General features: G+C 38.6%; 1 long non-coding RNA gene across 1 annotated transcript, besides 2 other annotated features; it reads left to right on the forward strand.

Moving 5' to 3' along the window:
- The first annotated feature begins 219 nt into the window (after window positions 1-219).
- LOC107984168 (uncharacterized) lies at window positions 220-16,463 on the forward strand. Its single transcript, XR_001747270.2, has 4 exons — window positions 220-302; window positions 3,228-3,282; window positions 12,846-13,820; window positions 15,991-16,463. It is a non-coding gene; the product is annotated as an uncharacterized LOC107984168 (long non-coding RNA).
- Window positions 1,275-1,475: a silencer, noted in NCBI's record as "peak841 fragment used in MPRA reporter construct". NCBI's record gives its function as "represses an SCP1 promoter by STARR-seq MPRAs in K562 erythroleukemia cells {active_cell/tissue: K562}" and the evidence as "EXISTENCE:reporter gene assay evidence [ECO:0000049][PMID:32103011]".
- Window positions 4,643-5,842: an enhancer, noted in NCBI's record as "P300/CBP strongly-dependent group 1 enhancer chr10:2255844-2257043 (GRCh37/hg19 assembly coordinates)". NCBI's record gives its function as "activates an origin of replication core promoter dependent on BRD2, BRD4, P300/CBP, MED14 and CDK7 cofactors, with strong dependence on P300/CBP, by STARR-seq in HCT116 cells {active_cell/tissue: HCT116}" and the evidence as "EXISTENCE:reporter gene assay evidence [ECO:0000049][PMID:35650434]".
- Window positions 16,464-17,927: the final 1,464 nt, after the last annotated feature.

The following is a 17,927-nucleotide window of genomic DNA, read 5'->3' on the forward strand; positions in this document are numbered from 1 at the left end:
AGGTGAGTAAGTAGATAGATGTATAGATATTCACAGTAGCTCTTAAGAACATACTTTGTACATGTGCCTTGCAATAAATATTGTTGAATAAATAAATGAGTATATAGGTTATCTTATTAGAGCATCAAAAAAGCCTTTGATGTAACTTGGGCTCGAAATGAAAGAAAATTTGCCAGTGTTGATGCAAGAAACATATTGCCAAATTTGGACTTGTCCCCAGATCTGTGCACTCCTAATTCTGGTCAACTATTCATCCTTTCAATTACCTGAAAAAAAGAAATTCCGTGTCTGCTTTCAAATGGGTAAGTGCAAATTAAACATTCATCCTGGACACTAAGCCATTTTTGAAGCCTTGAAAATAGCAATCACGTGGCTAGTCATTGCTATTATTAAAGATTTATTACAACCTACTTCACATATTCCAAGCAGTCTCCTAACCCCTTTATAAATATTAACTTAACAAATTCCTCATCAAAGTGCCATCGAGAACCCCTGTTATTATCCGTATTACAGGTGAGGATCCTGAAGCACAGGTGGTTAGGCAGCTTCCCAAACCCATTCAGGAGAATCTAGAGAGGCTTAGGTTCACATCAGTACCTCTGGGTTCTGATTTCATATTTTCTGTCATGTACTATGACAATCTGATTCTCAAACACACAGACCTTGTGGAAAATGCAAATCCTAGAGTTTGAATTACCTAGATAAAAACGAATCTTTGTTTGAACCATGGTCGCTTAAACTATCCAATAACCAATATATATCAATATCTAAAATGGCCTTACAAGTCTTCCTAAGAAATCAGCTTTTTTAACATGGTGGCAGTTTGTATTTTATTAATCAACATAAGGCTGGCCTGTCTTGGCTATTAACTATGACTTAAAGGAAATTTCCTATTCCTCCTGGACATCGGCAAGTTCATCTCTAAATCATGTGGAAAATAGAATATAATTCATAAGTGGCCAGGGAGATGAAATGGCTGCTGTATAAGCATCTCCAGTATATGGTCGATATTCTCAGCATTCACTCAGTGCGTTTTCTTCACTTATCATGGAGCTATGTTTGTAAGTTCTCAAGTCATCACAGGGCTATTTTTAAACGCCCCCATCACTTTCGAATTGTTTCCCAGTCAGTGACTTGTGAGCTCTCCTTTAACTTTTAATCTTCTTTGACATTTCTTCACCCTGCCTTTGTTTGTGTTTTCTCACCATAAATCATCTCTGTCTAGGAGAAGCCACTCATCAGTCAAGGTCTCATCACATCTTCGCTCCCCCGAGGCTCCTCCTGTTTGGTAGGATTAGAGCTAGGATCGCCTGAGACCATGTAGATAGTTCAATAAACTGCTTAAGAAAACAGCCCTGCCCTTCTTTTACAAGCCGATCTCCGGCCCTCATTTCCAGCAGTTGCTATCCCAATCAATACTGGTATCTGAGTAATTAAAGGCTTCCAGGTTTAGAGTTCTTGCCTTCTTGCAGGCTCTCCTTATCTACAAAAACACTGCCTTACATATTTGCTTCCACTGTCCTTGACTTTTCCAGCCGCAATCCACAATTACGTTGCTATTTTTTATTCCAAATTGACTGCTGTGTCAGGTGAGCTATTTAAAAGATTTTTGCTCATACGATTCCTACTGTGGCCCACCCTGATAATATTTGACAGAGCCATTTAGTTTGTATCTGTTATCTTAGTGCCAAAGTAAATTCCACTCCCCTCCTCATGCATCTTTCCTGGATAAATAAATCCATCTCCATTGGATTATGCTCACCCCTTCATTAGCTCTCTGAAAAAGTGACTCCAGAAAACACCCTTTACAGTCTCAGGAGCTCTCTCTCTAACTGCCTTTCTGATGATCAATATCTGCACAAGAAATGAAAAATTCAGTCAAGCCCAGCCATGACTGCAATGATGTGAATATGTGATATTACATAGATCACCAAATGTTATACAAAATTTTAAAAATCTGAGAAATGCTTCAGATGTTTTTCCTCAGACATCACTCATTGAGGCTGGAAGGCTTTCTATAAATTATGCAAGATGGCAGTCACATTATTCTGAATTTACAGAAGCCTAGATGTCGTTTTTACAAAACTGAGAGTCTATGGGCAGGACAAGTGAGGGAGAAGACATTAAGGAGAAAATGATGGAGAAAAATAAAAACGGAGCTGAGTAGTGAGAGGATGTGGTTTTAGTCAAGGCTACTCTGTGAAATGGCTCATAAGAACCTTGCCAACAACTGTAAACATCCCCACTAACTGTAAAGAACCATCACCACCCACCACAAGCAACAGCCATCACCACTACCACCAACAACAGCCATCACCACTGCCACCCACCACCAGCAACAGCCATCACCACCCACCACCAGCAACAGCCATCACCACCCACCACCAGCAACAGCCATCACCACTACCAGCAGCAACAACCATCACCACCCAACAGCAACAGCCATCACCACCCATGACCAGCTACAGCCTCAACCACTACCACCAGCAACAGCCATCAGCCACTAACACCTACCAGCAAAAGCCATCACCCCCACCGGCAAAAGCCATCACCACCCGCCAGTCGCAGCCATCACCACTAACCACCTCCTCAAATATAGGAGCCCATGGAAGATGGTGCCGGTCAGGGAAGAGCCACGGAGCAATAAAAAGACAAGTCAGTGGTTAAAAAAAGTTCCAAGTGTTAACCATCAGAGGTCAATCCTTTGCTTACAAAGAAAATAAAACCTAAAGTGGGAAGTTCATGCCACTAGGAAAGACAAGGAGTCTGTAGATATATCTCTTGAAGACAAAGTCATTTCAGGAAGAGCATAAGGAAAAGTTTATAACCATGGTCGAAAATAACACATTAAAAGTAGAATCGGTCTGTTTTTGCTATGATAGTTTGCTTTACTCACATTCACAAGTAAAGACAGGGAGGTTCATGCATCAGATCATGCCACCTTCACAAAGTCACACAACAGCTAAAGTCAGTAGATACACCCAGGCAGCCCAGAGTCAAAACCAAAAGTCTTTCACCGTGCTCTCTATCATGGCTTTAATTTTCAACAAAAATAACTGTATTCAGCAAAGAGTTAAAACATTCCGCTTCAGTGAATCTTTGTAAATTTTCCACTTCCAGCTTTAACACTCTAAAAACTGCCCAGGTAATTGTACATAATACTAAGGGGGAGCAAAAGAAAAAAAAAATCAATAAAAGATTATATAATTGTATTTCTTATCTTCCAGTGCTGAAGCTATCCATAGAAAATCTAGTTATCAGAAGACACCCAACCTTGACAAGGTGAGCCTGGATTTGCCGCGGAGCAGCTTGTGATTTTTGAAGTGTTATTATGACAATTGCCATTACGGAGTTGTAGCTGTACCTTTTAATTTGGTTGTCAAGGGAGACAGGGAGCAATAATTAAGGCTAAAAGATGGAGAGTGGAAGGCTTATTAAAGGATATGTTGAAGACGGGAATTTGATCTGAGAATTAGATTCTGATGAGCGCTGTTACTGCCGCCTGGGCACTCCTGAGTGACGGAGGCGCCGCACAGGCAATTACAGCAACAGACGTCTCCCTAATCTTTACAAGCCCAAACTCACTGCCACATCCATTTAAATTAATTTTTCTGAAGCCTGAAAGTTTATAGCTTCACCAAATTGGAGATTTGTTTGTTTATTGTTCATAGGAAATATTTTAGGGGAGCAAATAATGCTGAAAGCCATCACGTCTGTCTTGCTTGTCTTTTTAACTTGTAAAATTAATGCTATGAGATGAATCTGAAGGCTGCTGACTTTATGAAGCTGATGGGTACTTGGCAGCCAAACATTATTATGATTATCAGTGGAAGGTCACAGCAAAGCATGTAAAAGTCACAGCTGATTCAGGAGCTCCCTACATTGAGCAAAGGATTGGGGAAAAAAACTAAATCACAGGCTTGTGCTGTTTGGTGTTATAAGTGAGAAATCAGTCTTCCTTGCCTTGCTGAAACTGAAATTTTCAGGAACGGATTTTAAACAACTTTGGACATAGTTATTTCAAGATGTCTGTTCCATAGAGATAGCAATAGTTCATTACCATCCACACTGAAAACCTATTTTAAGGAGTACTTTGCTGCACAAAGATTAATTTACTACATCATTTTTTTTCCTCCCAGTAACAGTAATGTAAGTAATTGTTGTACCTTAAATTGGCATTATATTTTGATAGCCTAGTTTTTAATATACAAAGAACTGTTCAGTGTAACTGTTCAGAAACACAGAAATAGAGACAGAAAATAGGAATCTTTGGGAACAGCTCTCCATTTAAATCCCATTTATTGTTCTGATAGAGAGTGCTGGCTAAAGATGTTTCACCATAATAATAATGACTGAACCATGATTGTTTTGCAAGGAAGCTTCAAAAACTATCAGACATTTTTGTTGGTGATTTGGATATGGCAAAATCTGAAAACCCACCCTGACTAAAAGTATTCCGTTCTTTCCCATCTGTTAAGACACGGTTATTTCCTGTGAAATTTCTATAATAGGGCTTTTATACATATATAAAGTTGAGCAACACTCTGTGATATTAACTGGTGATAATTTTATAAGCTTGCCTAGTAATAAAAGAGCATTAATATCACAAAATAAAAATCAGTAGATAGTACCTATAGATAATGGAAGAAGAAATAACATGTGGTCTTAATAATGAATGTGGAAAATACTAAAAAGAGTAACATTTCTATATATTGGAGAGGAACTGGGGAAAATGGGGAGTAGCTGAGTCCTCAGTACATGGGGATATTGGTTATAATTTCTCATATTAAGCAGCATAAAGCTATTACTTAGGGACATGGTGATTTAATATCAGAAATGATTAAATGATTTTAGTAGTTATCTTTGGGGGCACAGAAATGGGGATAAGGATGCTTCAGAGGGGGTGGAAGACAGAAGTTTTCATTTATTATTTTTTTAATGATGTTCAAATATTTCTGTGATAAAACATTTAAAAGTACATTTAAAATTATATATGTACATTATATGTAGAGTGTGTGCCATAAGCTACTAATTACTATGTCAAATGATTCAGCTTATCTTTTTTTGTGAAGCTAGATATTCTGCAAAGAAACGCTGCTAACACATTGTCTTACTTTTTGTCAATTTTAGTATGATGATGAGTAACTTATGAGTCAATATTACCGCACTTCCTGCAGATAAAACTTGAGTGGTAATACCTAAGGTATCAGTGTGTTGAGTTTCCAATTAGCGTAGGCATTTAGGAATGCGCACACGCTACTTGATCTGGGGGCCCTGCTGTGATGACGTGTGCATGTGGTGCCTTGTTGGAGAAAGGCGCCGTCTTCTCTACCTGTTGCACGATAGCTCGGGGTAAACAGCCCTGTGTTACGTCTTTCCTATCACTGTGGCTGCAGCCCAGTATAGACTAAAGGCAGAGACAGCAAGAGGTTACAACGGGGATCCAACCATACCCTCTGCTCCTGAAGCAGGGAGGGCATACTGACTTGTTCCCTGTGGAAGCCCTGAGGCTCCTGTCCTAGTGGATCACGCGTCCCTTGCACCCTTGTGAATGCGCACCCGGCTCTTTTGCAAGATGAGCAGTCCTCCAGGATACCAGCAGACCACCAGGTGGTTACAAGTTCCTGTCACCTGGGACAACCCATGAAAGAGAACAAAGATCCCTTATTTTGGATAGAATCCCCTCCCCAATCTCCCAACAATCAGCACCAAAAGCCCAAGAAGCTGTTAGCTACAAACTCCTGCCTTGGGTGTGGTCGGGGCCTCTCTGGGGTCCTGCATGTGCAGCTGGGCTTAAGGTTTAGCTTACAGTGGAAAAAGCTGATGGAGGAATAAGCCACTACTTTTTTCCTCATATTAATAGTAAAAAACACACCTCTAAGTGGAGATTTTCTACACTAATGACACATGTGGTGCGTGTTGGAGCTGGCAGACACTGAGCACGTGCGCCAACCACAGGTTCACCTTTGCCTCCCGGACCTCACCAGTATTTTATGAAGATGGATGTGCAGTTCCCATGAAAGGAATTCCCCTCGAGGCACCAGGGGCCGCCTCTGCCTCTGAGCAGCCCGTTCTGCCTCAGAGCGGGCTTTCACTTCACAATACATTTCTGTGCCTCCTCTTGGACTCGCTCTCAAATTCTTTTGTGCAGCAAAGTCAAAAAATCAGAACTAGCCCACCCACCTACCTCACTCTCGGGCTGCCCTCTGCCTCTAGAACTTTCTCCTGAAAGCCATGAGGAGGGAATGAGTGTCCTCAGTCTGGGTCAGGGTTGAGCCGGTAACGTTCTATAACCTCAGGGGCTGTGCGTTTGCTCGAAAGTATTACATGCATTTTGGGCTGAGGCTTTACTAGATTGTTGTTTATCAGTCCTTGCAGTGGCAGCGTATCGAATCAATTGAAGGAAGAGTCAGGCTTTGTAAAATGTGATGGAAAAAATTCGATGTTGGGAAGGTCTTAGTTTACGACGCGAAGTCTTCTATCCTATTATTTCTCACGAGCTCGCGCTTGCTGCGCGTTTACAGAGGTAGTGAGCACTAATCGAGGATCCAGAGACAAGCGTGTTATCTCAGCTCAGCCAGTGAGCAGCCTGAGATCTTGGCAAAATTACTCAAAGGAGTGTGTGCTTCTTCCTCAGTTATATATGGTCACTGCTACCTTCCCTACGTGACACTTCTTTCTGTTTGTTCAACCAACACCGATGGTGTGCGCAGGCAGTAAGACATGGTCTTCATTCCCTAGCTCCATAAAACTTAAAATCTGGGGGAGAAAATAAAGACGCCAAGCCAGCCCTGCATAAATGAAAAGATAGATCATCTTCCTGATTGAAAATACTTAACGTCATAAAGGTATTTTAAATCACCCCTCTAGAAAATCTAGAATACAGAAATTCAGCTATGTTATTTGTAATGGAACTTAGTAAGCAAACTCTAATATTAGAGAGAAAGAATATGTACAACATTACTCCAGAAAATGTTGAAAAAGAACAGTAAAAGGGATTTGAAATACTAAATATGAAAACATCCTATTAAAATACAGTAATTAAAGTAGTAAAAAAAAAATAAAGAGAAAAATCAGTCAATGAAGAAAGGAAGGACTCTGCCAGCCTGGTGTTAGGATAATAACAACATACTTATCAAAGTTTTAAAATAAAAAACACATGCCAACATAATACACACATATAAATATATACATGGAACAAAAAGAGAAGATAAACATAGACTGTTGGGTTTTTGAAAGGGAATTCCCGATGTTTACAGAGATTACTCAAATATAAATTAATGCAGATGAGAGAGTGGCAATTTAATGTTCAAATTAGACTTAAAAATATATACTCCAATAGCAAGTATAAAAATTATTGCAAATGGCTGACTTCAACAACCCCTTCCCAAGCATAAATTCCAGATGCTGTCAGCACTTTCATGAAACTGATTATATAAGCAAGATATTTAAGTTTTTTTCTTGAGCTTAAAAAATGGGATACATAGGCATGTGTGTGTGTCTGTGTGTATATTATATGTGTATATGGTATCTACAGTTATATATACATACATAGTTTTTATTAGAGATACTGCATAACTCTGATGCTAACACAGCAAAAGGTATGATATTTGCTGAAGAAAAGTAAACATCTCTCTATGAAATGAAGACAAATGCTTAATTAAATTATTAGAAATTCTATCTTGCAGTATATTAAAATGATACCTGAATATGAAAAATGAAGATGGCTTCACACTGGAATCTTATAAATAATGTTAGCAGTAAGTTAAGTAGAAACATACATCATCATCTCAATAGATTTATAAAACATATGAAAAAGTAGACAATTTTAAATGTGTATCTGATATAATAATTACTAAACTGAAAGCATAGAAATTTTATACTATTTAATTTTATATTCATTGCTTTTTCCTGAAATTTTTAATAATCTTATTTTGTCTACATATATATGGTCAAAATTTTATTGAAGAAATCAAAGTATGATAAGAAGTCATCATGAAGTGGATTTGTTCATCAAAATTTCTTTAGGGCTTTTCTTTCTGAGGACATGGTGTCACCATGCATTAAAAGACTTTGTAATCCTCAAGTTTATTAACTTAAAATGTTATACGCACACACATACACATGTGTAAACACACACACATGAGACTTTCCCTTTCTCCCAGGAGCTGGTTGTTTACATGAAATATTAAACAAGTTCTTTCTGAGCTCACAGATAATAAGATAGTGAAATGTTTGCTTGGAACAAGGGTAACAGTCTCTAGAGAAGACACTTTACCTGCAGTTATATTCCGCACCCATTATAAATCAGAGCTGCTTTTCTAAAACCAGCTTCTGTGAAGTATTCTCTGTAAGTCACCACCAAGCATAATAAAAAGATGTTTCAATTAGGAGAAACAACATGACCTAATTGTTTAAAAGAACACTGACAAGAAAGACAATATCTTTTTCATTGGACAGTAAGTATAAAACAAAGGAATCCTATTTTAAACAAACCGTGCTTCTAAAGCATGGATAGTCTGTGATTGCTGGATTCCTAAGGAGCCTCCTGGCCGTATGTGTGCATATGTTCAACGTCTGTTTCCGTGCATTGCCGTTTTACAGATGTTTCGCCAGTTGTCTCATTACTGTAGGTGCACTTGGGAAACAGGATACAAGAAGGAATGTTTACCCATGGTGTTTTGTTCACCGCCCAAATGTCTCAGAAAGTGAGGACAGTGCTGACTGTCAGGCAGAGGAGAGAAGGCAGAGATGTCCATCAGTGCCTGAAGCAGCCCATTCACTGGTCCTGCCTCCCGAATGCCTCCAGCATCTTCTTCAAGCAGCTGCACGCTGTGCAGGAGCCCTAGTCCGGGATGCACTTGCCCCCGGGGTTGGGTGAACACCCTTGGTGCCCCTCCATTATGGACTCTCCTGTTACTGCTTCCCTGTCTGATGAAGTTGAGCAATTTCCTCCAGACCACTATCTGCTCACCCTGTTATTTCCATGCACATTGAAAAAAAAAAAAAAAAAAAAAAAACCTTAGGAAAATCATCAGTTTGTGACATTTGTCTATCATTTTTCTTGTTTCAGCATTGGAACAAGACATGCTGGCATTGACATTGTTGCCTTATAAATAGCACAGAATGATTTTATTTAAGCAAGCATACATTTTCCAATGGCTTCTAAAGGTTTGTCTAGCCTACAAATTAAGTCAGCTTACATTAATATTGATTACATATAAAACACTATTTATCATTACATCTACTCTCATTGAACGTATAATAGACAATTATGGCTTATAACATGTCTTCCGTGTTACATATAAAATTTTAACTTACAAATTTCCCTTTTATTCAAACTTATTTTTATTTATATAACTCAAATGTATAGGATACATTTATATTCAATGTACAAACATTAGCCACAATTAGCTTTCCTTAACTTCTTGTCTCTCTTATGTGATAATGCCAGTATATCTCTTATTGTATCAAAATATATTCAGTTTTTCAAAAAATGGGTATATATTGTAAAGAAGTTCTGCATAATTCTAAGAGTAATTCTAATAGAGTCCAGGCCAACCTCAGACTCATGAAATTATTTTACTGTAGAATTTGCAACAAATGAATAAGAAAAAGTTGAAATAAATGAAGTATGATAAGTCTTTTTGGTAAGGAATGCAATATTTCAGAAGAGTCTGTACATATTAATGTGATCAATACAGAAAGAGAAGAGATATTCTAAACTTGAGTCCAGGGCAATTCAATATTTAGAACAAATTTTGGATTTATTCCAACTGATAGAAGTTTATTGGTTCATCTAATATAGTTAAAAACAAAACAAAGAAGAACAACAACCTGTCCAGCTGTGAGGAGTTAATACTTAAGAGAATATCAACCTTGAGACCCGATGGATGAAAATGTTCCTAAAGAAAAGCAGACGTGAATGACAATGGTTCAGTTACTGTTAAGAGACTGACTTCACACTATGAGCCTCGAGCAGACTACATATATGTACATTTTATGATCAAGGAAGGTTATGTGAACGATAATGAAGTCGGGAGAAATTCACAGGAGGATATTATGTCCATATGTAGTTTGTGTGTAAGTAGAAGTTATGAAGTGTCCAAATCATGGTGATCAGCCCTTCCATCTTTAGAAAGTGGAGACACTTCTGGTTGGAACACAAAGCATCCTGGGAAATCACGAGCCCATGAAACACACAGGATCTCTGAAGCTTAACGGTGCATTTTAATGCTCAGAGTAATGATTTTCATTAGACTGCCTCTTAATTCCTTCCCACCTGGGAAAATGTTTCTCATCTCAAGAAATTGCAAACCTGTTAGAAAGTTCTGATTAAGTCACCTTATAGAAATAGAATTTTCATTCACTGGAACATTTCTAAATGTATCCTGATATAAGTTTTAGATAGCAGGAAGTTGTAAACATGAGCTTCGTAGGCAAGATAAATGGATCAAACCCTGGCCCTTTACATTGAATATTTAGATGACTGTGGACAATTAATTCAATGTTATGCTCAGTATGGTATAAGCAACACACATAGCAGTCCCGGTGAAGAATACAAATCCCATGTCTCAATTTTCTAGAATAAAATAAGATTAAAATGTGTTTTATATATCTGTGTGAAAGCTAAAAAATGTTGTACATAAATTACAGTAATTTTTCAGGTTACTTACTTTCAAAATCAAAAAATTATTTCAATAGATAGAAGATAATGAATATAATGTTTCTGTATAATTCAGTCATTTAATAGTTAAATTTTATGAATGCGTATTTGTTTTATTTTGGATCGTCTTAACTAGATTCTGTTAATTAATCTCTTAAGATATTTTTCACCTACTGAAATCATTAAACATTGTCTCCGTTCATGATCTCTTTGACACCTTAAAGAACATCTTCACTTTGACAATACGTATAAACTAGTTTCTGTCATTAATGCTGTATCTTTTTAAAATTAAATTGTATTGCGTATATTTAAGGTATATAAATGATGTTATAGGATACATATATATATATATATATATAGTAAAAAGGTTACTGTAGTGAAGGAAATTAACATGTATGATCTCACAGTTACCCATTTTTTTCTGTATTTTTTTTGGGGGGCAATACCAGCTAAACTCTACTTATTCAGCATGAATTCCATACAGTACAACTGTATGACCTGTGGTCCTCACACAACACATTAGCCCTCCAGGCCACCTGATGTCCTCTGTCCTGGTCTCCCCATGCCCTCCCCATGCAGGATTTTCAGTACACCTGCTTTGTTTATTATACTATTTATTTCCAATGCGCAATACCTGTGTTGTTTTAAATTTAAGATTACAAAGTTACAAAATTCTTGTCACAATTTCTAAAGAAAAGATGGATTTTTAGGATTTAACAAATTGACTTTATATATATGTATATGTGTGTGTGTGTATGTGTATGTGTGTATTTGTGTGTATGTATGGGTGTGTGTATGTGTGTGTAGTGTCCATAGGTGTATGTGTATGTGTGTGTTGTTGACAGGTTGACAGAATCTACAGCTTAATTTGTGAAGGACGGAAAAGAAGCTAGTTCTTTTAAAAAATCAATAAGAATTGATTGTCAAGTAAAATAACATATATCTAGGAAATACAGGGATTTTTAGAAATGTAATCTGATAAATTTCATTTTATGCTATGTTCAGAATTTAATATGCTGTGGAAAAAAACACCCAGGAGCAGATTATGCCCCACAAGCCTCTGGATGATTTAGACAGAGCCTTTTTAACTTCACATCCTCAAAAACTCTCTCCCAACCTAGGTTGCTGGGTAAACTTGCTTATATTCTTAAAATCATGGTCCCACAGGGAACTGTAGTCCCTGGTGATGAATCAGAGTCTCTCCTAGTTGTTTGACAGCCAGGGTAAAATTTAAGTTTCCAAATAGAAGCCTGTACAATAGAAGGAGCAGAAGATTTGGAGTCAGAATTTCAAATTCAAATCTTTGAATTTGCTGCAAATGGACTCTATGATCATTAGCAATTGGCTTTGACTTCCTGAAATTTGTCAACTCATCCATTAAAAACGTATGAAAATAATACTATCACTTAGAATTGTTTTGGAAATTTAATGAGCAATGGCACAAGAAAGTGCTTTGTATAATTTAAACTACTATTTATGGTTTTTCTTTTACAAGCTCCAGCTGGTGTAAGGCATACTCTTAATAATATCTTTACTGTTTTTATTCAGCCCTATCTTAAATAAAGCACCAGAGACAGAGGTGCCTCTGTATCCGTTTTTCTTCTTTCCTTATCAGGAAAGGGTATTTATACCTTCCCAGAGGGATATATAAATTTATGTATATCATCTTTAAATGATTTGGTATTTAGTAAATTGTAAGAAATGGTATACTCCATGCATTACTCACTGTTAAACTTATGTTGAAATCTACCCATGCTTATAATTTTAAATCTGGCTAGACAAAATGACTCTATTTAGTGAGCTTTTACTTTCACTTTGTGGTGCAATAGCAAGCCCTAAGTTTAAGGTCTAATTCTCTGGACTCTGTGGTGTTCTTTTATTCAGTAACAGTTTCTAAAATTTATAATTTTAATGAGCAAACAAACATAAACTTTACTGAGCATCAACAGTGTGCCGTGAGCATAGCATAGATCAGGACTGTAAAGGTTCATATGCCATGAACCTGTCTTCAAGGTGCTCACTAAGGGGGGAGAGAAGCGTGTGTGTGTGTGTATGTGTGTGTGTGTGTGTGTGTGTGTGTGTGTGTGTGTTACCACTAGAGGGTAGTTTCCAAACTCATAATTGTTAAAGTAATGCATGTTATCCCAACTTCCATTTCTAATCTCCTCTCAACCCACAGGTCAGGGATGACTATGTTGACATAATCTTTCACTTTCTCAACTATGATAATCACAAGAAGCTCTGGCATTGTCTTTTAAAGATGTGTCGATGAAGACATTGTCATCATTGTGAATTACTTCAAGCATCAAGGAAGTCCTTCCACGTATTCTTTCTGGCAGAGAGCAGGTTCTTACCTCTGGAACTAAAAGCAGGTGCAATGGATTGAATAATTCATAGATAGACAGTCTCACTCAGCCTCACATACACCGGCAGTTCTGCAGTGGGGGCGATTTTGCCCTCCAGGAGACATTTGGTGGCATATGATCAAAATTTTATTGTCACACTGCGGAGTGTCCCTGGCATCTAGGAGGTAGCATCTGAGGATGCTACTGACCAGCCTGCAGTGCACAGGATGGTCCCTGCAACAGCTGATGCAGCCCAGGATGTCCGAGTGTTGAGGCTGAGAGCCCACGGTTAACCATCAGTCAGAGGCTGGAGGTATCTCGGCAGAACATTCACACCAGACGTCTCCTTCACAGCCATGCCCAAGCACGTCTACTGCTATGACAGCAAAGTGACAGTGAAACCCGCCTCTGCCTTCCCATCCTTTTCAGGTATCAAGTCAGCAAAGTGAGCTTAGAAATTAAGAACTGCAAATATTCTTACAGTTTATTAAGCTTTTATCCTTTTACTTGCGTATGAGGAGAACTCAAATATTCAAAGTTAATCAGCAACTTAGCAGTGAAGTCAGAACAGAAATTCCTGTGTCTAGAACCCAAATTCCTTGAGTATGAAATTTACAATGAACTGGCAGAGAGGGAAGCCTGGCAAACCAGCCGTCTGGAGGGACCTGTTTGCCTGGGTGACATTTGCAGGCCACACTGTCCTGGTTTCTGGATTCAGAAGGTTTGGTGTCTGTCTACAGGGACACACAGCACTCTGGTGCTGGCGTGGAGCCTGAACGCGAGCGGATTCAAGACACCAAGAGTTAGAGGTAAGTGTGCATTCCTTTGTGTTTTATCACTTCTGTACAAAATACGGAGGAGGCCTGATGCAAGATGATGTTAATGTAGTTTCATCTTTTTTTTTTTACTCTAATTGTTTCATTTATTTATTTACTTATTCATTTTTCCACTCATCTATTTTTAGCTGCTTCAATAAAGATGTCCTTGTCTGAACATCCCAAACAATTCTTTCTTCAATCTGTATTGACCCAATTAGTTGCTTCTCAGCAATATTTGTCTAGTTATGTACTAGCTTAAGCCTCCCCCCAAGTAGCTGATTTAATCAGCGATATTCACAATTAGAATTGTTTCCTTCTAGAAGCTGAAAGTCTGTGGTTAATTTAACCTAGAGGGCGACTTATTTTGATGGCCTGAACCTTCTGCCTTGGTTCAAATGAGTATTCTGAGTCTTTGGACCATGGCTGCTACTTTCCCCCGACAATGTGAAGTGGAAAGAGATTTTCCTATTTTACATTAAATGAAGGATGTGCTGAATATAATTTCCTCACCTGTAAAGAAAAACTTTCTCAAACACAGTCTCTTCGTGATCCTAGAAATCACCAGCCCAGGTCAATGCATCTTAGGTGAGTATCTTTGAATCATTCTCAGTATCACGTGGGCTACTCTGCCATGCCACGTTCCTGATGTCTCAAAGCCTTTACATTAGAGAGTTTATTACCATTTTTTTAAAAAGCCAACCAATGCATTCTTGATCTATAATGTCTTTATTTAATAATATAATTTGATAATAGACTCCATCTCTTGGGATGGAAATTGAATTTCTCCAGAAGCAGAACATAGAGACCTTTATGTGGGAATGTTGCAGACCTGCAGATACTTCTCCCTCATGAAGCTGATCCCTATGAGTCTGCAGATATTTCTCGCTCGTGAATCTGATCCCTGCACTTCTTTGACAGCAACAAATCCTGTCTTAATTCAGGTGCTAGAGAGGCCAACAGAATTGCCTGACTTTAAACCACTGTTCCCACGTTCCCAGCTGCCTTTACTGGTCTCATCTTCCTATTGCCCACTACACATGGAATTATCCTGTTCTATGATTGCTTAATTGAATTCAGCTCATTTTAAAAATTACAATTATTTCGACAATGATACTTCAACTTATAATAATTGACTGTTGAGGTCAAGCGAATAATAATATCGGAAAGCCCCTGGGATTGAGGATTATAGCATAAATAATTCACATGAGACCTTTACGTGTCTGCAGATGTCATTATATCACTATGAATTTTCCTTTTTTTTTTTCCTGTCACTCAGACTGGAGTGCAGTGGTGTGATCATGGCTTACTACAGCCTCCACCTCTGAGCTCAGGTGATCCTCCCACATCATCCTCTTGAGTAACTGGGACTGTAGGAGTGCACCACAAGTCCCGGCTAATTTTTGTATTTTTTTGTAGAGGTGGGTTTTGCCATGTTGCCCAGGCTGGTCTCAAATTCCTGAGCTCAAGCAATCAGCTTACTATGAATCTTCATAGATGGTAGGATCCTGAAAAAGTAATCATTATAAATGTGGATCTTTATGATTGATCAGGTTCTGAATCTGCCCAGACCCTCTAAGGGAATGTTTTCAATTGTGTTTTTTTCACAACTAAACTGAAGTATTTGATTTGAACTAGTTCTTAAATACCACTTTAGAAGAATCGAATTCACACTTTAAACAACATGAGGCAGGACGGAGAGTGTAAATTACATTTAAAGTAGCTAAATGTGAAACACTCACAGTTTTGTTTTTTTTTTTTGTTTGTTTGTTTTTTTTTTGGTCATAGGTGTTAGGAACTTGTTACCAAAATATATAAAAATTTATTTTTTAAAAAAGCTTTTCATTGTGGATGTCTAAAATCCATCAAATTTCCCCACTGAGTTTGTTTTATTTACTTCTATTACCACATTGTTCTTAAGAAATGATTGAAATGGGAAAATAATAGACAAACTTAAAATATCGGAAATACAAAGTCTCATAATTTGGACGATAGGAGTCCGTGACCGCTCAAAATGCAGAGATGACCTCTTGTCTCTTTGTCTTCTGCCGCCCTCTTCCTCCATGTCCACGTCTGTCTTCTGCTTCTGTCTGCCCTCCCACCCAGCCTTGCCTTTGCCTGCCCCTACTCCAGGGCTCCCTTTGATTTAAGGCTCTTATTCCAGGCGACCCGTCAGTGTCTCTCCCAGTGCTGACCTGCTTTGCGGCTCGTCACATGCAACACGAGGTGGCCAATACAGGGATGTGGCAGCAAATGAGCAGCGATTTGCAGAGGGCAACACTTAGGGTGGTTTTAGCCGATTGTAACGTGGAGAGCTATTTAATAATTACTATTAGATTATAGCCATTTCCCTGTAGCAAAAATCAAAAATGTCGAGGACATGCACTTCTGGACAAGTAGAGTCACAGGCCCTGGGTTTACTCTCTTGCCTGAAACAATGAATATGTAAAACCAGAAAAAGTCTCTAAAACCATGTTTTTCAAGACGCCGGATATTCAGCAACGAAGCACAGCGATGCTGAAGGGACAGGAAAGGAAGAACGGCGCTGATTTCCTTCCCTGGCGACCTCAGGGGGTCTTCTGGCCATGGCACAGGGAGTGGGAACCCAGGAAGGTGCTGCAGTCCCGGCAAGGCAGGGAGGAGTCGGCTCAGGAGAAGTCAGGGCAGTGCAGGTTCCAGGTCACGGTGCTGGAGGGACGAGGGACGCACAGAAGGGTTACAGGACTTTTCCTAAGTTCAGTTAAAGACAGGGTCCTTCTCACACGGCCCCCAAAATTTAGGCTTGCAGACGATTTGAAAAGTCAGAATAATGAGATTTATTGGGCAAAAAGGAAAAAGAGGGGAACAGGGACTCCACACGAGGCAGAGCTCGTGATCCTGCAGACTTCCTGCCTCACAGATTGAATCCCAGTTTCCACACAGGAACAGGGGGGCGGGCTCCAGGAAGAGGAAGGACCACGCTCCTCCTCACTGCATAGGATGCGAACTTCCCGAGGCTCCGCCCTAGTTGCCAGTCGGTTGGAGTTTTGCCCAGGAGCCCTTCCAACCTGGCTGTCTCAGAAAGACAGCTCAGGACAGCTGCAGGAACCCCCCTCCAGGGTTTCAGGGTACAGCAGGGTCCTGTCACTGCTTCTGAGGATACTTGCCAGGACATGGGAGGATAACCCGAGAGAATGGGCCAGAACTCACTCAGGACTGAAAACCGGGGCTGTGCCATCCTGACAGACAAGAACATCCTGTAATTCATGGGGCCCTGGGCAAAGTCGTGAGCAGCCTTGCTTCTGTTTTGCTGCATGATCAGCCTAGACTAATATCACATGCTCTGGTTGTGCCTAAAATTCTTTAAAGCAAGATTCAAAGGAATCACACTCTTGCCAAGTAGCTTAACTGTGTCCTAGCAAAAAGCACAATCACATTTCCAATAAAACAGTAACCTCCAGCCCCCAACAAGAGAAAAATTCACAATGCCTGGCAGCTGATTACAGACAACCAGACACAGCAGAAAAGCAGACAAACAGGCTCACATTTAGAAAAATTATCAATTAATCAACATTGAACTAGATCAGACACGTAAGTTAAAATTAGCAGTCACTGATGCAATTATTATGATTGAATTTAATATATTGAAAAGTTGAATAAAGACCTGGAAGACAGGAATAAAATAACTCAAATCGAAGAAAAATTAAGTCAAAGGGATAAAATATTTCATTTTAAAACCTAAATTTATAAAATTTATAGAAAACATAGAAAAATACCTTTTTAATCATGGGTTAATTAAAGATTTCTTAATATAACACGAAAGGCATGATTCATTAAATTAAAAAATCATAAATTAGACTTCATCTATATTGAGAACTGTTATTTGAAAGATGTTGTAAGAAGAACAACAAAAATACCACCTGAAATTATCTTTGCAAGATGTGTATCTGATAAAGGACTTGTATCCAAGATATATAAAGATCTATAAAAACTCTCCAAGTTCAAAAACAAGGAAACAAAACAGTTAATACAACTAATAAGTTTGAAAAAGTTTTAAAGATAAACTTAATCAGATATGAGATGACAAATATGCATGAATATTTAAAATAAGCTCAAATTCAT

This window comes from Homo sapiens, chromosome 10 (assembly GCF_000001405.40).
Source record: "Homo sapiens chromosome 10, GRCh38.p14 Primary Assembly".
NCBI lineage: Eukaryota > Metazoa > Chordata > Mammalia > Primates > Hominidae > Homo > Homo sapiens.